General features: G+C 51.8%; 2 pseudogenes across 1 annotated transcript, besides 1 other annotated feature; both read left to right on the plus strand.

The window, feature by feature from the left end:
- The window catches only part of IGSF3P2 (IGSF3 pseudogene 2), a 30,792-nt pseudogene extending 28,274 nt beyond the window's left edge, over positions 1 to 2,518 (plus strand).
- GGT8P (gamma-glutamyltransferase 8 pseudogene) lies at positions 10,348 to 17,133 on the plus strand (annotated as a pseudogene). The gene is given in 2 exon segments (NR_003503.1): positions 10,348 to 11,113; positions 15,416 to 17,133. The product of NR_003503.1 is annotated as a gamma-glutamyltransferase 8 pseudogene (transcript).
- Positions 20,192 to 20,693: an enhancer, noted in NCBI's record as "NANOG hESC enhancer chr2:91973212-91973713 (GRCh37/hg19 assembly coordinates)". NCBI's record gives its function as "activates a minimal SCP1, AML or CMV promoter by ChIP-STARR-seq in primed H9 embryonic stem cells {active_cell/tissue: H9 hESC(primed)}" and the evidence as "EXISTENCE:reporter gene assay evidence [ECO:0000049][PMID:30033119]".

The following is a 21,039-nucleotide window of genomic DNA, read 5'->3' on the forward strand; positions in this document are numbered from 1 at the left end:
TGCCCTAGAGGACTTTCTGCATTTGAAGAAGGGAGAAGGCAGAAGATTGGACTTGCTAACAAAAAAGATGAACCCGGGAGGGTGGGGCCGTGGCACACAGGATTTCTCTCTAAGTGGTGCCTGGTGTGTTCTTGATGGCGTGAGAAGGTCTGTGGGTTTGTGAATTCAACAAGTCTTCCTGGAGAGAATGTCTGATTCACCGCTGGGAGATGCTCCGCAGTGTTGCTCAGTCATGGCATTGGGAATTGGACTTTGCCACACCTTGGCTTGCTAAATCCTTCCATCCATTCAGAACATTTGTCTGTGTGTTACAGGGAGACCAAGTGGCAGTCTGTGGCTTTCACAAGTTTTGGTTCTGTGATGCATGGGACTCAATCAACCCTTGATGCTGCCAAACCAAGCTTAAGCCAGCTGGCAGGCCAGGGTCATGACCAGTGGGCTGGGTCCTGGGTCTGGATGCAGTTCCTGGGGTTGAGCTGGACTAAAGAGACAAGAGTCTGACCAGCAGAGTGCTGGAGCCTGGCCAGGCATCCCTGCCCTGCCCCTGCCCCTGCCCTCCACACAAGCTCGGTTGGAGGAGGCCTAGATTACTGTCCCTGGGTGGAATCTCCACCTTGCCCCTGCTTTCTTTCTCAGCTGGGAAGTGGTTTGGTCCCTGTGGCGGAAAAACTAAGTGTGAAGAGAGTGGTGGAGGTGGAACAATGCTTGTGCTATTAGTTCCCTAAGAGGAACTTAGAATTGTTTTTTTTTTTGTTTTTTTTTTTTTTCATTTTTAGTAGCAGGAGAAGCGTGAGTGGGGGAATGCAGAGCCAAGGTTAATGATGACGGGGTGGGTGAGATCTCAAATCACCTTCCTAAGATGGATTTCATTAGACCTTGGCTTCTTGCCACTGGCAAGGTGAACATCGTCATTAATTAGCTGCTGGGGAGGCGCTCCACAGGCTGCTCTCTTGTCTGTTTTTGGAGCGGGACAGTGAGGAGAAGGGAGGATTGCAGTTGGCTTTGCCTTGTCCCGTGGTTTACTGTCTTCTCAGCCTTCTCTCTCACTCCCCTAGAGGAAGCCCCCTCTCCCCACCCCCGCAGCATCCTCTAATTACCTGTTGCCGTGTTTCTCCAATGTGCTCTCATTCGCTCACCCACTCATTCACCTATTTCAGCAAACACTGATCAAATGCTTTCCTGGCCCAGGTGTTGTGCTAGGCTCTGGGGGTGCAGCGATAAGAATGTCCGCTAGGCCGTCCACCCCATGAGGGCTGGGACTCTGGCTTACTCTTCAGGACATCCCCAGCACTTAGCATCCTGTGGGAAACTGAGTGGGCACTCCGTAAATACTGGTTGATTGAGTGGAAAGAGCTTGATCCCTGCCCTGGGGGAGCTCACCATCTAGGATATGGGAGAGAGATGTGAGGACACACAGACCAGAGATATATAGAGGGTGCTGAGGAAGGGTATGGAGCCCAGGGGGATGGGAATGAGGGATACGTGGACAGAAGGGTGAGGGTGGGAGGTGGCAGAAGGAGACAGGCAGAGAGGACAGCAAGGGCAAAGGCCAGCACTCAGGGAAACTGCACCAGGGGCGTGTGCCTGTGGAGGGTGCCTGAGGGTGAGTCATGAGAGATGAGTCAGGACACTTGGGTGAAGGCCAGATCCTGAAGGGACTTTGTGCTGTGAAAAGGAATTATTTCTCTCTAGTCCGTAGGTAGTTCAGAGCCATTAAACTTTTCAAGCAGAGACCTGATATAGCTAGATTTGTATTTCAGCAGGATCACCCTCAGAGGCCCTGTGATGGTGGGCTGTGCAGGCAGTGGATAGGGGAGAGATGGTGAAGGCCTAAGCTAGGCGCATGGCAAGGAGGAGACAGGGAAGGATATTTAGCGGTGGCCTGGGCTCCGTGCTGCCTTCCTCACACTGAAGCCAGTCGGTGTTAAATCCCCCAGGAACTGTGCTGGAGGAAAACTAACTCAGAGCCTCGAGGTGGATGGGCCACGTTTCTGGGAGTCTGTGGTGATTCCTGTGTTCCCCTTTCCTTTGCAGTGACAAAGCTGCAGGTGAGCAAATCGAAGAGGACCCTCACCCTGGTGGAAAACAAGCCCATTCAGCTGAACTGCTCAGTCAAGTCTCAGACCAGCCAGAACTCCCACTTTGCGGTGCTCTGGTACGTCCACAAGCCCTCAGATGCCAACGGCAAGCTTATCCTGAAGACCACCCACAACTCCGCCTTCGAATACGGTACTTACGTGGAGGAGGAGGGCCTGAGAGCCAGGCTCCAGTTTGAGAGGCATGTGTCGGGGGGCCTGTTCAGCCTCACCGTCCAGAGAGCCGAGGTCAGCGACAGCGGCAGCTACTACTGCCACGTGGAGTAGTGGCTGCTGAGCCCCAACTATGCCTGGTACAAGCTGGCAGAGGAGGTTTCTGGGCGCACAGAAGTCACTGTGAAACAGCCAGGTAAGGCCGCAGGGCACGGCTGTCCTGGGCCAGTGGGTTTAGTGCAGAGACTGCCTGGGGGTGGGTGGGGCTCTGTGGGGCTGGTGTGGAGAGACTGTCTGCAAGGTGCATGCTGAGTGTGGGTGCAGGTACACAGACCATCACCCTAGCACACTGCAATCCCATCCATTTTACCTGCAGTGGGTCCTGATGCTGATGGCAGACTCATGGAAGCATCCTTGACTCTGCTTCTGTGGATAGCATCTTCACCAAGGAGCAGGGCAGCTGTGGTTAGCAAAATGTGGCAAGGCAGGATTCATGGCAGCTCCTGAATCTTCTTCTGGGTTTGCAGTTTGCACCCTGAATTTTGGGCTGACACCAGCTCCACACCCAGAGTTCCTACCTAGAAGGCATTTTCTGGTCTTATGCATCTGCATCCCCCTTCTTCCTTAGCTCCCAGCCCAGCCCAGACAAGCCTTTCCTGTCTCCAAACTGAATCATTCCTCCTCTGGCCCTTCCTCGACCCCGTGGTGTAGCCCTTATTCCTCTCCCTCACAGGTGGCACTCAATCTCTGCCAGAATGCTTCCAGGGAGGGAGAGCTACTCACTCCACAAGCCTCAGTTCCACTTTTGGGCAGCTCTGATTGTTGAAAAGTTCACTTTCCTGTAATTTCCCTTTTGAGATCTGCCCATGGAAAAACCAAAGAGAAGTCTGCGTCATTTCCTTTCAAATACATGAAATGTATGCCCCTTCTCTGTTAAAGATCTCTAGTTCTTTCAACTTCTCACACAGTGTAGCCTTAAGGGCCTCTCCATCCCTCATTCTCACATCCCTACAATTCTTTGTTGTCTCTGCCTGTCCTTCCTGATGGGCCATGGAGGGTGCTGTGTTGCCACTCTTAGCCTTGCTAAGAGTGACAATTCTGGCAGGCTGCAGACCATGTGTGGACCTTGATCTGAGGGCTTAGAGGCTTCGGCCTGCCAGCCCTGTGGGGGCACCCACCCCATCTCATCTCATTGAATGGGGCAGAGCAGGTGAGGGCATGATGGATGGATGGGCCTCATCCCCCTGCTTCCGTTGCCTGGGGTCCTCAGTCAGCTTGTCAGCTCAGACCCCTGAAACTGGGGGTTGAGGAAGGACCCTCCTGGATCATGTGACTCCCTTCGGTCCAGGTGAGCAGGGTCCTTGGAGTAACAGCTCCTAGAGCCCAGCCTATAGCCCTGAGAGTTGGGGAGAGGGCCTGTTAGGAGAAGCATCCCCTGCCCTGGGGTTGTAGAGGTGATCTAGGCTCCTCAGACCTTGTGGGGCCTCAGATGCTTACATCTCCAGCTCCTCCTGTCATGGGCATCTGGCTGCAGCCCAGCTCTGTGGCCCCATCTCCCAGGGAACCTTTGGTCTAATCTGCCTCCTGCTGAAACCCAGCCTCATTCAGCCCCACCGAGGCTTTCAGAGTTCAGGTCTCTCATTCAGGGTTTGAGACCCCACCGGGCTCAGAGAGACCTGCAGCCTGCACCTGTCCCAGATCACACAGCCCCAGGGATGGGACCAGGAGCCAGCCCACATCCCACCTGCAGCAGTTCCTGTGCCTTTAAAGCCTCCCCTCCCCCCCGCCCCTCCCCCAGGCCACTGGGGGAGGGAAGGAGGAGCTGGGTCACAGCAGGGAATCTTAGCTTGGTTTTGGTGTGCTGCTGGACGACCAGACCGGGCATCGGGTGAGCCCAGAAGTGAGAGCAGTTGGCTGCGCCCCAGTGCTGTGTGACCCAGAGGCGCCACTCACCCTCTCTGAGCTGGTGAACATCATAGGTGGGGAAGCTCAGGTCAGGGCACTCCCATGAGTGTCTGGAGGCCTGAGTCCCATTCTCAGCTCTGCCATATGCTTGCTGCTCTCTAGAGGAGTTCCTCTTCCTCTCTGAGCCTCGGTTTATATACCCGTGCAGTGGGAGTGAGTTGCACTTCGGGGTGAAGGGGGCAAGACTTGTGTGGGCGCATCCTGCAGAGGGATCCCACAGAAGGGGAGAGCCGTGGGTTCTTTATCCTACTGGGTCTGGGCTGGGGGGGCCTCTGTTTCTTGGCTGATGAGTTTATGTGAGTTTGAGTGAGGTATGTGGGTGGGTGAAAGGAGGGCTGGGGGGAGTCACCTGACTTGTGCGAAGAAGCTCTTGAGAGAGCCGTGGCTTCTTGGAATTAAGAGGAAAGAGTGCAGCATGAACAAACAGGCCCTGGAGGATCTGGCAGCCCTGAGTGGGGGTGGGGGGTCAGCTCTGGAGTAGAGCCAGAGCTGTGATGGGGTTGGGGGACCCTGTGTCCTTGGGCCATGCTTGCCTCACTCCTGGGTTCTGTTTGTGGCTGTGGATTGGGGTGGGGCAGGGCCGGTTGTGTGAGGGGTCATTGCCCAATTCCAGGGGGCACCTGCCACCTCTCAGCTATATATATAGGGATATATATAGTTCTTTCGACAGGTTTCCAGCAGGTAGTGGTTACTAAATCTTACTGAAGGGGTGTTTTTTCTGATTCTCAACTCTGTGCCGCAAGGGTGGAAACTGTGAGAGACAGATTCCAACTCCACATCTGGGTAGTAAGCATCCAGTCCAGGGGTGTAGATGGTCCTGGGGAAGCAGCCAGAGATCTGTACATTCTCATATCCAGGGATAGCGACTCCAGGCTGGGGGCTGGCAGGGTAAGGGGTGGGTGGGTCCCGGGCTCACCCGCAGGTCTGCAGACTTCCTGGGGCCAGCTGACCTCGGTAAATCCCTTTTGTCTAAGCTTCAGTTTCCTGCCTGTGAATGGGATTGGGACTGTGCTCTGGTTTCACCCTTGTGGCTCTGGGGTTGTGGTGACAAAGCCATCAAGCTGGGTTGAAGGATTAACCAGGAAACCTTAGACTGGCTGCCTTGTCTACCTCTTCCTCCTACTCCTCTCTCTGCTGCATCCTGGGAAGCTGCTCTGCTCAGCCTAGATGAGGCTCAGTTGTGTGTGTGTGCACGTGCTTGCACGTGTGTTGGAAGTGGGTGGTATTGACACCAGAGTCAGTGTCTCCGGGTGAGTGAGGCTTGCACATTTCTCGGGACAGGGAACTCACTACCTTATGTGCCCAGGACAAGAGCTGTGGGGTCTGGAGAAGACTTCTAGGCCAGCCCCTGCAGTCTTTCCTCAGGTGACATGGCTTCCCCAGACCCACTTCCCCCTAGGTGCCCTCTCTGCATTCAGGGGGTAGAGGGCTGACTGGGACAGAATGTGACACACTCAGCATGTGAGGAAAAGCCTCCTTCATTCTGTAGGCCCTACCTCTATTAACATGTCCTTTGATAAAGTGCCTCCCCTCCTGTCTCCCCTCTCTGGAATCCTCAGCTGCTGCCAGGCTTCAGCTGTGCCCCATTGAAGGCAGCTCTGCCTCCCTACTTTCCCCAGCCCAGGGTTTTCCTTTTGGGGTCAGCTGCAGGGATCTGGGCCATCCTTTACCCACTCAGACTTTCTTCCTGCCCACCTGCTGCTGTGAATCCTGTATGTCATATACATATATATATAAAATATATTATATAATTATTATATTTATGTAATTTACATAATATAATATATAAATGTATTATATATAGTATTATATATAAAATTATACTTTAAGTTCTAGGGTACATGTGCACAACGTACAGGTTTGTTACATATGTATACATGTGCCATGTTGGTGTGCTGCACCCATTAACTTGTCATTTACATTAGGTGTATCTCTTAATGCTATCCCTCCCCCCTCCCCTCACCCCACGACAGGCCCCAGTGTGTGATATTCCCCTTCCTGTGTCCAAGTGTTCTCATTGTTCAATTCCAACCTATGAGTGAGAACATGCATGTCTTATATGCTCTCAGGCAGAGAGGAAACTGCTGAGCAGGGCAGGGGACAGAGCCCTGTGGCTCTCCACTTTAGACCCCTCCCGGCTGACTGCCATGGAATGCAGCCACTTAGCAGGGCCAAATCCCCTGATGTTCCTGTTGGCTGTCTAGCCTTCAGGGACAGGTCATGGGGCCTTGGTTCCTGCCCTGTCATCTTCCCAGTCACCCTGATCTTCAGGGGGAGGAATAGCCTGAGAAAGGACTTGGTCATAGCACCTCCACCCTAGGGCTATTGAGGATCTCACAGTCGTGTGTCTGGTGGGTTCTGTCTAGAGCCCATTTGAGAGCAGTGGATGACAGGACAGGCCTATGTGACCCAGGCAGGCAGCAATATTGGGTCAGCCTTCATGTCCCCTTCTGTCAGCTTGGGGCAGCCTGGAAGGATGATTGTGGGGTAGGTGTTATGGGCACGGAATAGACCTCAGGTGGAGGCTGCAGGGGCTCTCCGGCACTGTAGACACAGCAGGCCAGGATCAGGGGAGGGAGCCATGACTCAGGGAGACTCTGGCCCATATCGTTGGCAGATGAGGGCCACAGGGGAATGGGCAGCACTGTCCAAAGTCCCCTGGGCTGGGTCCGCAGCTGTTCCTGGCTCAGACTTCTTGGTGGGCTGGTCAGAAACATGCAGTAACTTGGGGCAGTTACCAGGTGGCCAAGTCTGCACTGCTGGGCTCTGTGAGCTTGGGCCAGCTCAGGCCCTCTCTGGGCCCTGCCTTTCTGGGCTGTTCAGGTGGTTCCTTGGGCCTGGGGTGCTAATGTTTCTGGATGGGCAGCAGAACCAGTCTGCACTCAGGGCCCCAGGCCATGTTCCCGGAACACACCTTTAGCATTGACAGCAGCGTGTGGTGAGGCCCCTTAGTCTGGGTTCTGGTCTAGTGCCAGGGGCACCACTACTCCACCGCCTCCAGAGCCATCTCTGGGACACTGGCTGTGCGTTCAGATGTTCTGAACAGGGACAGGGAGAGCCAGAGGGACCCAGCCTGGGGCTCACTGGAGGGGCTTGTGGGCAGACAGTGCCCTTTAGAGGGAACTGAGTCTGAAGGGAAGGAAACCCTTTCCCCAGCTCATAGCATCTGCCATCCAGGGCCCTGCCAGGGCTGCGTGAACTTTAGTCATGTGGTGACAGGCCGAGTCACCGTGCCAAGTCACTGTGCGCCTCCTTGCTGCTGTGACGTCAGCTTCCCCATCCTCCCAGCCAGGCTGGATCTCTGTGAGAGGCCTGCCTGTCCTGCACCCTGTGCGGATGCCTCCCACTGTCCACCAGGGCTGCTGGGCACCCCCTGGCTGGTCTCTTGGACTAGGTAAGCTCATGGGTCCTCCGGCCGCTCCTGCTCTTTCCCTGCCTCTGCTCCTCCTCGGAGGTGGCCACCCCTAGATCCCAGTCCCAATTCGGAGGCCCCCTGAGGAGTGCTGCAGGGGGCCGCAGGCGTGGCTCTGAGCCACTCTGGAGGGGGGGGGGCCCAGCCAGTTCTGTGGCTGGGAATTTCCCAGGCAGACAAGTCTGTTTCTTCCTCCCCAGCGGGTGCAGCCCAGAACTGTCTTCTGAGGAAGAGGTGCTCTCCTGGGCCCCCACTGTCCCCAGGCCTCAGGTAAGCCCATCAGGGTCACAAGGAAGGGGGTCTGGATTTGAGGCCAACCATGGCAGCTGACCTACTTTCTAGCCTCAGTTTCCCCTAGTGTGTGCAGCTCTCACACTGTTTGGGTGAGAACCAGGCCTCTGGGCTTGGACATTCTTTCAGTGAGTTTTGAGGGTGGAGGGATGGGAAATGGAAGCCCAGGACCTCAGCAGGATGTCTTCCTCCGAGCCGGGGACATCTGCCTGTGGGAGGCTGGGCCCACCCTCCCTTGCTGACCTGCCCTGGGAGGAAGGGACAGGGCCCAGCACTGCCTACTCCCCTCCCTGTTCTTCCCAGCAGTCTGAGCCTGGCTGGATGCCCCCTGCTCCTCCAGGTGCCTACTTGGGCCTTTGGGTAGACAGATTAACAGACAGGGGAGGCTGGGTCATGGTTGGACCACCCCAGGACCCTGAACGGGGGCTCAGCTCATGACCCTGAGCCTGGGAGAGATGAGGCCATGCCCTCCAGGGCACTCAGCATGACCCGGCCCAGTGGACGGGACTGGGTAGCTTCCTTGGTGCAGGGGGCTGTCATGCTAGGACAGGGTCACTGACCAGGCCAGGCCCCTGCCCCATGACTTGTGGTGGAAATGTCCTTTTGTTTTTGTTTTTTGCTTTTTTTTTTGAGACAGAGTTTCCCTCTTGTTGCCCAGGCTGGAGTGCGGTGGTGCAATCTTGCCTCACTGCAACCTCTACCTCCCGGGTTCAAGCAATTCTCCTGCCTCAGCTCCTGAGTAGCTGGGATTACAGGCACCTGCCACCATGCCTGGCTAATTTTTTGTATTTTTAGTGGAGATGGGGGTTTCACCATGTTGTCCAGGCTGGTCTCCAACTCTTCACCTCAGGTGATCCACCTGCCTCTACCTCCCAAAGTGCTGGGATTATAGGCGTGAGCCACTGTACCCGGCCATGTGATGGGAATGTTCTGTGTCCATAATAGATGCTGCATATTGCTGGCCCAGCTCCTGAGGCTCTTTGGACCTCCAGGAATCGGTGTCTCTATCAGGAACCCTTAACCCTGACCCGGACTCCCGGCTGGGACCCGGGGTGTTGGAGTGGCAAGAGCGCTGTCAGGCCTGGTGAAGGGTGTGAGCTGTCCAACAGGGCAAGGAGGAGGCAGGGCCTGTTCTGTAGTTGGACAGACAGAGCCCTCTAGCTGCTTTCTGGAAGACTGAAGGGCAGGCGATGTTGGAGGGAGGGAGTGCAGGCAGGGGCTGTGAGGGAGTTCAGGTCAGAAACAGGTGGCGCCTGGATTCAGGCTGTGGTGGTCACGGTGGGGATGAGGGGCTGCTTTGGATTGTGCTGGGGATGTGGGGTGGTGCGCTGCATGACTACTGCCAGGTCTCTCTGCTCTTGGTGTCTGCATCCAGGGCTGGGAGGGGGTCAAATGTATCACACTATCGGCCCCAGGCCCACCAAGCCTGGGGAGGTGACCACCCTTCCACGATGGCATTTGGATGTTCCCTGTGTGTGGGGAGGGCACAGGGACTCCATTCCTAGACTACCTCTGGGACAGTGTGTCTACCTCTGAGGTCAGATGCTCTGCACTGGGACAGGGTGGAGTGGAGGGAAACCCAGCTTGGGGCTCATTGGAGGGGCTTGCTGGCAGACACCGCCCTTTGTGGGAAACTGACTGTGGGAGAGGGGAACCCCAACCTCTGTCACCACATCCCTCTTCCCTGTTGTCACACCTGTCACCTGCTGCCATAGCCATGAGACTTCCCAAGGGTCACTGCTGCCACTCACTGCACAGCCTGGAAGGGAGTCCACAGGGGACATAGAGTGAGCAAGAGACCTGTGCCACTCAGGCCTCCTGGGGGTGTCCCCAGTGCAGCCATGATGATAATCACAGCTACCATTCACCAAGTCCTGCCCACAGTCTAACCTACTCTATTCACAACACTCCCAGCAGCAAGGCAAGTGAGGTGCTGCCGTCATCCAGGCTGGACAGTTCAGTGATTTGCCTGAGGCCCCACAGCAGGTGAGTGGCAAGTCCAGCGTCAGAGCAGGGCAGGCTGGCAGTGCCCCTTGAGCCCCCTTTGCCATGCTTACCACATGCACATCCTGGGCTTCTGCAGGAATGCCCTGTCCCCTACCTGCCCTGCTCCATGCAAAACCCTCTTTGAGCTGTGCCTGGGAGACATGCTGAGAGAATTCATGGAAACAAATGTGTTACTGACAGCCTCTTTGCCTCCAGAGTTCAAATGGAGACAGAGAAACCAGCTAGAGGCAGAGGGAGGTAACACGGAGTCCCCCAGAAAGGTCTGGGCTGCGCGTGCTTCAGGTAACCTCCCTTGACCTTCAGGAGAACGAGAAGGCTGCCTGATCAGAGTCTCTGAAGAAGATTCTGTGGCTACAGGCTTCAGCAGAGTGTGAGGGAGACCCCAGTTGTTTCCTCAGGTGTTTCCACCAAATCCTCCTGTCTTTCGTGACCAACACCCCAGGCAAGGCTTGGGGCCCCCGTCTGCTGCTGGACAGTAAGTCCTGGCCCCGTGGCAGTGAATCTGTGGGGTGCTCTGATTGTGGGCACTATGGAAGCTAAACCCCATGCTCCAGGTGGGGTGGAGGGCCTTCAGAGGACTCCTGGACAGTGCCAGGCTCTAGGCTGAGGTGGGGGACACAGGAGAAACCAGGCCAGGCCCATCCCTACTGGAGCTTCTCCCTAAGCAGTGGAGGCTCAGCCACTGTGAGGAGGTAGGCAAGGCCCTGCAGAAAGAGGGGTGTGGAAATCTGGGGGCTCCCAGGAAGGGCCGCTGCTGGAGATGGGGTTCTTACCAGGATGGGCTCTGAAGATAAGCAGGGAGGATTTGGGAGGGCAGAGATGAGGCCCAGAGCTTCTGGCAGAGGGCATGGCCTGCACAAAGGTCTGGGGGCCGGACAGCCTGCACGTGTTCTGGGAAGCGGGAAGGAGACACAGGCCTTGTGTTTCTGAGGCCCAACTTTAGACTGTGCCCTGCTGGGGAGGTGCCAGGGAATGTCTGAGGCTGGGCCTGACCCTGCTCCTTACCCCATGGGAGCAGCAGAGCCATGAAGAAGAAGTTAGTGGTGCTGGGCCTGCTGGCCGTGGTCCTGGTGCTGGTCATTGTCGGCCTCTGTCTCTGACTGCCCTCAGCCTCCAAGGAACCTGACAACCATGTGTACACCAGGGCTGCCGTGGCTGCAGATGCCAAGCAGTGCTCGGAGATTGGGAGGTGAGCGGGGCAGGGCATGGGACATGGGCCCTGAAAACTGGGCAAGTGGACCTGAGCAATACCTTCACCCCTCTGAGACTCAGTTTTCCCACATGTAAGCTTTGCTTGGACTCTCTAAGTAGCCTTTGGGAAGGGGACGGTGACTCCGAGAGCAGGGTGTGGGTCTCTAGAGCCAAACAGGGCCCCTTTTCTCAGTTCTAAGAGTCTCTGTCTCTTTGGATAAACTCCACTGTTTTGTTGTTTGGTTGCTATTTTTACTTATTTCTTTCTTTCTATCTATCTATATCTATCTATCTATCTATCTATCTATCTATCTATCTATCTATCTATCTATCTATCTATCTATCTAGAGATGGAGTTTTGCTCTGTTGCCAGGCTGGAGTGCAGTGGTGCAATCTCAGTTAACTGCAACCTCCGCCTCCCAAGTTCAAGCGATTCTCATGCCTAAGCCTCCCATGTAGCTGGGATTACAGGCGTGTGCCACCACGCCCAACAAATGTGTGTGTGTGTGTGTGTGTGTGTGTGTGTGTGTGTGTGTGTGTGTGTGTTTCCGAGACAGAGTATCGCTCTGTTACCCAGGCTGGAGGGCAGTGGTGCAATCTTGGCTTACTGCAGCCTCCCCCTCCCAGGTTCAAGTGATTCTCCTGCCTCAGCCTCCACAGTAGCTGAGACTACAGGCATGTGCCACCATGCCCAGCTAATTTTTGTATTTTTAGTAGAGACAGGGTTTTGCTATGTTGGCCAGGCTGGTCTTGAACTCCTGACCTTGTGATCCTCCCACCTCTGCCTCTCAAAGTGCTGGGATTACAGGCGTGAGCCACTGTGCCCCACCAATCTTTCATTTGTTTTTAATACTCATTGAGAAACTCAGCATCTGTAGACATGAAGTTGCTCAGGGTAAGAGAATGCGGGAATCATAGGCTTGGCACCTTGTGGATGCTTAGAATCATTTATTTAACTAGAATGTATTGAGCATTGTCTTAAAGAATCAGCTGTTGTTCCTGAAGCTGGGGTGAAAAACAAAGATGGCAGATGAAATCTGTGACACTCCAGGTGGGAAAAGAACCTAGGCAGGTGCGGGTGTGTTACGGGCTGTAGAAAAACAGACCTGGAGGGCCTCAAAATCTGGGACTCTATGGAGGGTGACCTAGTCAGGGAAGGGGACATCTGAGCAAAGACCCAGAGGCAGAGATGGGGTCAGGGGAGTTATCTCCTGGTCTGCTATCCAGGTGTGATGGCAGGGACAGAGCCCTGTGGGGAGCTGGGGAGGCTGCAGCAAGTGACCCAAGGGAAATGGCCCAGGTTGTGTGGGATCACTTAGGTTATGGTGAAGCCTCTGCTTCCTGTCTGAGGGAAGTGGGGGCTCGTGGAGTGTGTGAGTGGAAGGGGATGGATCTGGCCTATGAACCCCTTGGATTGCTGTGTAAGGGGCAGGGAGCATGTGGGGACCTGTCCGGAGGTCACTGCAGTAATTCGTGGAGAGGGTGCTGGGAAGTGGCTGATGCTGGACAGACACACTTGGAAGTGGAGCCTGTGGATTTGAGGATGGGTTGGGTGTGATGCTTGTGTAGGGAGTCCCCGGGGACCCCGATCTTTTGTCTGTACCTGGAAGGATGGGGTGACCCTAATGGAGACAGGCAGGGTTCTCAGGAAGCAGGTTGAGCAGACACTCAGGAGCTCGGTTTTGGGCACGTTGAAGTTTGAGATGCTTTCTTCGAGCAGGCAGGTAGATACTCAGGTCTGGTTATCAGAGGAGCAGTCCAGGCCAGCAGGTCAATTTGGGAGTTGTCAGTGCATAAATGGAGGCTGAAGCTCAGATGTCAAGCAGACCACCAGGAGAGAGAGCAAAGACAGAGGGGAGAGTAGGAGCTAGGATGGCAGGCGGGGGATACTCGGGTGGAGACAGGTGATGGGATGCAGGGGAGGCTCTCAGGGAGAGTGATGAGCCCAGTAAAGCTGAGAGGGGCACTGGGTCTGGCAGTGTGGGGGTCACCAGAGAACTTGGCAAGTGTGGTGGCATGAGAGTCTGATTGGCCTGAGGTCAGGAGAAGATTTTTTTTCTGATATTGATACATGATATTTTCTATATTTATGGGTACATGTGAGTGCTTGTTACATGCATAGAGTGTATAATGATCAAAGCAGGGTATTTGGAGTCTCCGTCACCTTGAATATTTTTCATTTCTGGGTGTTAGCACCATAGTCCTCTCTTCATTACTTTGAAATATACAAAATACTGTTGCTAAGCATCGTCACCCTGGTCTGCTATCAAAGATTAGAACTTCTCCTGTCTTGGCTGGGCACGGTGGCTCATGCCTGTCATCCCAGCACCTTGGAAGGCTGAGGCGGGTGGATGACCTGAGGTCAGGAGTTTGAAACCAGCCTGGCCAACATGGCAAAACCCCATCTGTACTAAAAATACAAAAATTAGCCTGGCGTGCTGGCCTGTGCCTGTAATCCCAGCGACTTGGGAGGCTGAGGCAGGAGGATCGCTTGAACCTGGGAGGCGGAGGTTGTAGTGAGCTGAGATCATGCCACTGCACTGCAGTCTGGGAGACAGAGCAAGACTCCATCTCAAAAACAAACAAACAAAAAAACAAAACAAAACAAAAAAGAACTTCTGTCTAACTACAAGGTGGAAGGAATCATGTGCTGGGTGTCAGACCTTCCGGGATGTATGTGCAGCTTCTAGGAATTGAAACCACCAGCTCTTGGAAACTTGTGCCAGGCTTCAGGGTGGGAGAGGCAGTTCTAGAGCCGCAGCCGCCAAGCCAAGCCAAATGGCCCCATCATCTCTCGCAAGAGCAGGAGAATACCTGGGGGCAGAGGCCATAGTTGTACCTTTCTGGGCAAAGGGTCAGTGTCTGTAGTGTCCATATGGGCAGTGGGGCTCAGGGGGGAAGCAGGCCCAGGGGTCTGTTTCCAATGACCTCCTCAAAAGTCAGAACTGGAAGGCAAAACCCCTTATAGACTGGGTGCACCTGTAATCCCAGCATGTTGGGAGGCTGAGGTGGGAGGATTGCTTGAGGCCAGAGTTTGAGACCAGTCTTGGCAACGTGGCAAGACCCCTGTCTCTACAAAAAATAAAAATAAAAAATTAGGCTGGGAGTGGTGGCTCAGGCCTGTAATCCCAGAACTCTGAGAGGCTGAGGAGGATGGATCACCTGATATTAGGAGTTCAAGACCAGCCTGACCAACCTGGTGAAACCCCGTCTCTACTAAAAATGCAAAAATTAGCAAGGCATGGTTGTACATGCCTGTAATCCCAGCTACTTGGGAGGCTGAGGCAGGAGAATTACTTGAACTCGGGAGGTGGAAGTTGGAGTGAGCCAAGATTGTGCCATTGCACTCCAGCCTGGGCAACAAGAGTGAAACTCCATCTCAAAAAAAAAAAAAAAAAAAAGCCACATGTAGTGGGGTATGTCTGTAGTCTTAGGTACTTCAGAGGCTGAGGTGGGAGGATCGCTTGAGCCTGGGAAGCCAAGGCTGCAGTGAGCCATGATTGCACCACTTCACTCCAGCTGGGACAACAGAGTGAGACCTTGTCTCAAAACAGACAAACAAACAAAAACCCTTATAGTTGGATGGAGAAACTGAGGCTGGGAGAGGGGACAGGATGGAGGTTAAGGCTCAGTCTTGCCTCTCTGGGGCAGTAGAAAAGAGGAAGGGAGCCCTTTCTTGGGGCTGGCTGTGTCTTGAAGGTGGCCTGTGCTTGACCTGGGTCAGGGTGGGATCTGCTCTTGTTTTGGCACATTCTGGTGGAGCCCATGAGTCTTACAGGATAAGGCCTTGTGGTCAGTGAGATGGGAGGGGGTCTGGCCTGGCACAGGATTTTAGACATGTAGGCACCTGCACAGACAGATACCTCATCCTGGGACAGCAAAACCCAGCCACATGCTACTGCTTCCCCTCCTGTGCCCTCCTCAGACATCCCTGGTCCATGTACACTCCTACCTGCTGAGCCCCTCTTAAAAAAAAATTAAACATCCCCTCCTAAAAAAAAAATTAAAATTAAAAAATAAATAAAAAAATTAAAAATCCTCTTCTGCTGGGTGTGCTGTTCACGCCTGTAATCTCAGCTACTCAGGAGGCTGAGGTGGGAGGATTGCTTGAATCCAGGAGTTCGAGATCAGGCTGGGCAAGATGGCAAGACGCCAACTCAAAAAAGAAAAAAAAAATCTTTCCTCCTAAGCCTCATTGCCCCATCTGTAAAACGAGTCAGGGACTGTGCCTGGGATGCTGCCTGCGAGAGATCCCGATGTCCCCTACTCAGGGTCACTAACTGTGGCTCTCTCTCCCCAGGAGGGCTGTCGGTGGCAGTGCCTGGGGAGATCCGAGGCTATGAGCTGGCACACCAGCAGCATGGGCGGCTGCCCTGGGCTCGCCTCTTCCAGCCCAGCATCCAGCTGGCCCGCCAGGGCTTCCCCGTGGGCAAGGGCTTGGCAGCAGCCCTGGAAAACAAGCGGACCGTCATCGAGCAGCAGCCTGTCTTGTGGTATGTCTGTGGGTGCAGCCCCCTGACACAGGCAGGGCAGGCACAGCCCAAGGACCTTGCAGGCCGTAGCAGCAGTGGAGCGGCCCTCTGCCTTCAGGACCCTGCGCTGATAATGGGATGAGGAGATACAGACCCTTCCCACCACATGTGGGGACACATTCTGAGCATGGGGTCCCAGTGGCCACTGTGGCTGGCCATGTGTCCTGAGTGGCAAGGGACACTAGGAGGTTCCCGGAAGGGACACTAGGAGGACGAGCGCTGAGTGACAGGGCCACCCACCCGTGACAGGCGCTGCCCCTGCTTTGTGCTGGTCTCCTGTGTGGGCAGGTGTGGGGGTTGGTCTAGCTAAGTCCACCCCACCTGCTGCCTCACATGAGCCCCCTCTGCCCCAGTGAGGTGTTCTGCCGGGATAGAAAGGTGCTTTGGGAGGGGGAGAGACTGATCCTGCTGCGGCTGGCTGACACCTATGAGACGCTGGCCATTGAGGGTGCCCAGGCCTTCTACAACGGCAGCCTCATGGCCCAGATTGTGAAGGACATCCAGGCGGCTGGTGAGTGGGTAACCTCAAGGGCCTGGGTGAGGAACTCTGCAGTGGAAACCCTGAGCTGTAGCCCAGAGCCATGGGGTCCTCCTGTCTTGCCTGAGCCTGCAGGAAGTTCCTGGTGGAGGAGGGTCAGTGACTGGCCATGTGGGTCCACAGCTCCTGCTTATATCAAAACCAAGAGAGGCCACACAGTCCAGGAGAGCAAGTCCCTGTTGGGGTAAATGCAGGTGTAGGCAAGAGCCAGGGCTAGGGAAGCGCTAGAATACAGCCTGAAGATCCAGGAGGACTTCTTGGAGGAGGTGGTGGCTGGGCTGCAGATAACTTCGTTAGGCAGAGAGAGGAAGGGATTCCTAGCAGAGGAACAGCTGGGCTAAGGCCCAGTAGAGGGGGCTTTGATTCACCAAGAGGGTTACAAGGGATGAGGGTTGCTTTGAGAGAGGCATGGGGAAGGGGATTTGTGGAGCAGGGGCCTGGAGCTTGGCTGTGGCTTTCTTCAGGTAATTTTTGTCACTGTTTCATGGAGGAGGGTGATTAGCGTGTCAACCTTTACCACTGAGGCTGGAAATTGGCATGCCAATACCCTGTCTGTCTGGAGCTGACTCCAGGAGAATTAAGAGCCTCCCTCCCTCCCTCTATCCATTCATCGTGAGGAGAAGAGGCCAAGCAGCAGGGACACCGGCAGGAATTCTCCAGTTAGAAAAGGCCCTCTGAGCCAGGTGCGGTGGCTCACGTCTGTAATCCCAGCACTTTGGGAGGCCGAGGTGGGTGGATCACCTGAGGTCAGGAGTTCAAGACCAGCCTGGCCAACATGGTGAAACCCTGTCTCTACTAAAAATGCAAAATTAGTCAGGCATGGTGGGTTGTGCCTGTAATCCCAGCTACTTGGGAGGCTGTGGCAGGAGAATCGCTAGAACCTGGGGGGCTGAGGTTGCAGTGAGCCGAGATTGCACCACTGCACTCCACAGAGTGAGACTCCATCTCAAAAAAAAAAAAGAGAGAAAAGGCCCTCTGAGGCCAAGCTTGGTGTCTCATGCCTGTAATCCCAACACTTTGGGAGGCTGAGGTAGAAGTTGAGGCCAGGAGGTCCAAGACAAGCCTGGGCAACATAGTGAGTCTACAAAAAAAATATTGAGAATCTGCATAAATATAGTGGGGGTGGGGGTGGGGAACAAGAAAACAAAAAATTCAAAGCATAGTGAAAAGAAATATAGCAAAACCCAGCCGGGCATGGTGGCTCACGCCTGTAATCCCAGCACTTTGAGAGGCCGAGGCATGTGGATACGGGGTCAGGAGATTGAAACCATCCTGGCTAACACAGTGAAACCTGTCTCTACTAAAAATACAAAAAAATTAGCCAGGTGTGGTGGCGGGTGCCTGCATTCCCAGCTACTTGGGAGGCTGAGGCAGGAGAATGGCGTGAACCTGGGAAGCGGAGCTTGCAGTGAGCCAATATCATGCCACTGCACTCCAGCCTGGGCGATAGAGTGAGACTCCGTCTCAAAAAAAAAAAGAAATATAGCAAAACACAACAAAAAAAATTAAAATTTGCTGGGTGTAGTTGTGCCTTTAGTCTCAGCTACTGGGGAGGGTCTGCTGGAGGATCACTTGAGCCCAGGAGTTCAAGGCTGTTCAACAGCCCTTCATGCTAAAAATTCTCAATAAATTAGGTATTGATGGGACGTATCTCAAAATAATAAGAGCTATCTATGACAAACCCACAGCCAATATCATACTGAATGGGCAAAAACTGGAAGCATTCCTTTTGAAAACTGGCACATGACAGGGATGTCCTCTGTCACCACTCATACTCAATAGAGTGTTGGAAGTTCTGGCCAGGGCAATCAGGCAGGAGAAGGAAACAAAGGGTATTCAGTTAGGAAAAGAGGAAGTCAATTTGTCCCCTTTTGCAGATGACATGATTGTATATAAAGAAAACCCCATTGTCTCAGTGCAAAATCTCCTTAAGCTGATAAGCAACTTCAGCAAAGTCTCAGGATACAAAATCAATGTACAAAAATCACAAACATTCTTGTACACCAATAACAGAAAAACAGAGTGCCCAATCATGAGTGAACTCCCATTCACAATTGCTTCAAAGAGAATAAAATACCTAGGAACCCAACTTACAAGGGACATGACGGACATCTCCAAGGAGAACTACAAACCACTGTTCAATGAAATAAAAGAGGATACAAACAAATGGAAGAACATTCCATGCTCATGGGTTGGAAGAATCAATATCGTGAAAATGGCCATACTGCCCAAGGTAATTTATAGATTCAATGCCATCCCCATCAAGCTACCAAAGACTTTCTTCACAGAATTGGAAAAAACGACTTTAAAGTACATACGGAAACAAAAAAGAACCCGCATCGCCAAGTCAATCCTAAGCCAAAGGAACAAAGCTGGAGGCATCACGCTACCTGACTTCAAACTATACTACAAGGCTACAGTAACCAAAACAGCATGTTACTGGTACAAAAACACAGACATAGATCAATGGAACAGGACGGAGCCCTCAGAAATAATGCCGCTTAACTACAACTGTCTGATCTTTGACAAACCTGAGAAAAACAAGAAATGGGGAAAGGATTCCCTATTTAATAAATGGTGCTGGGAAAACTGGCTAGCCATCTGTAGAAAGCTGAAACTGGATCCCTTCCTTACACCTTATACAAAAATTAATTCAAGTTGGATCAAAGACTTACATGTTAGACCTAAAACCATAAAAACCCTAGAAGAAAACCTAGGCAATACCGTTCAGGACATAGGCATGAGCAAGGACTTCATGTCTAAAACACCAAAAGCAATGGGAGCAAAAGCCAAAATTGACAAATGGGATCTAATTAAACTAAAGAGCTTCTGCACAGCAAAAGAAACTACCATCAGAGTGAACAGGCAACCTACAAAATGGGAGAAAATTTTTGCAACCTACTCATCTGACAAAGGGCTAATAACCAGAATCTACAATGAACTCAAACACATTTACAAGTAAAAAACAACCCCATCAAAAAGTGGGTGAAGGACACGAATAGACACTTCTCAAAAGAAGACATTTGTGCAGCCAAAAAAACACATGAAAAAATGCTCATCATCACTGGCCATCAGAGAAATGCAAATCAAAACCACAATGAGATACCAACTCACACCAGTTAGAATGGCGATCATTAAAAAGTCAGGAAACGGCAGGTGCTGGATAGGATGTGGAGAAATAGGAACACTTTTACACTGTTGGTGGGACTGTAAACTAGTTCAAACATTGTGGAAGTCAGTGTGGTGATTCCTCAAGTATCTAGAACTAGAAATACCATGTCACCCAGCCATTCCCTTACTGGGTATATACAGAAAGGACTATAAATCATGCTTCAATAAAGACACATGCACACGTATGTTTACTACGGCAGTATTCAGAATAGCAAAGACTTGGAACCATCCCAAATGTCCAACAACGATAGACTGGATTAAGAAAATGTGGCACATATACACCATGGAGTACTATGCAGCCATAAAAAATGATGAGTTCATGTCCTACGTAGGGACATGGATGAAACTGGAAATCATCATTCTCAGTAAACTCTCGCAAGGACAAAAAACCAAACACCACATGTTCTCATTCATAGGTGGGTATTGAACAATGAGAACACATGGACACAGGAAGGGGAACATCACACTTCGGGGACTGTTGTGGGGTGGGGGGAGTGGGGAGGGATAGCATTAGGAGATATGCCTAATGCTAAATGACGAGTTAATGGGTGCAGCACACCAACATGGCACATGAACACTTATGTTACAAACCTGCACATTGTGCACATGTATCCTATAACTTAAGGTATAATAATAAAATAAAATAAAATAAAAAAACAAAATATACACTAATACAGATTAACCAACTTAAAAAAATAGTAGAGAAAGGTCATTTAAAAAATATGAGGAATAGAGTAATAATCTAACACGTTGAAATCTAAGAAGGAGAAAACAGCTTGTCTGAACAGCATTTTAAGTGGCAATGTTAGAGGTTTTATCAAAATTGACCAATAATATTAAACCTCAGGTTCAGGAGACTTTTCAAAGCAAAGGAAAACACACACAGAGGACACATCTAGAAACATAATGGGACAATTTCTGAAAAGTAAAAGAAAAATGTAAAGAGCACTTGATAAAAAAATTGGGCTAACTACAAAGAGAAAGAGTTGACTGATAACAACTTCCTCAAATGAATCAACGAAAGCCAACAAGTGAGGTACTGATATCTTTCAAGTCCTGAAATAAAATAAGTGCTGACCTAGAACTGTCTACTTGGTGGACATATCCATCAAAAGCAAAGATACAATAAAGAATTTCTCCCAAGCAGACCCACAGGAAAAGAAATACTAAAGATTATTCTTCAGGTAGAAGAGCCATGATCCCTGATGAAAGTTTGCATTTAGAAGAACAATTTTTTTAATGAAAGAAATAAACATAGAGAGAAATTTAATTGGATATCGACTGTATAACAGAATGCTATCTCATTAAGTTTAAAATGTATCTTCCATACAACGGCAGAAGCATATAAGTTGTGAGTTGGATAAATTAATTTTAAAATATTGTCAAGTTTTTTTTTTTTTTTTGCAAATAGACAAATGTACCAATTATATTAGACCCTGAATTCAATAATGCACGTTGTATTAAACCAGGTAAAATATAACCAGACCAGATTTTTAAAATGGACTCTAAGTTTTTATAATTTATATTCATATTTCACATATGTTGAAAGTAAATAATGGAAAAGCATGCAATGCAAATATTAACCAAAATATAGCTTTAGTTGTACTTATATTCACATTTTAAAAGTTGGACACAGTTAAGTCTCAGTGATTTTTTTACACAACGGAGGCAAGCTGTGCAGTT

The sequence above is a fragment of the Homo sapiens genome, chromosome 2, assembly GCF_000001405.40.
Source record: "Homo sapiens chromosome 2, GRCh38.p14 Primary Assembly".
NCBI lineage: Eukaryota > Metazoa > Chordata > Mammalia > Primates > Hominidae > Homo > Homo sapiens.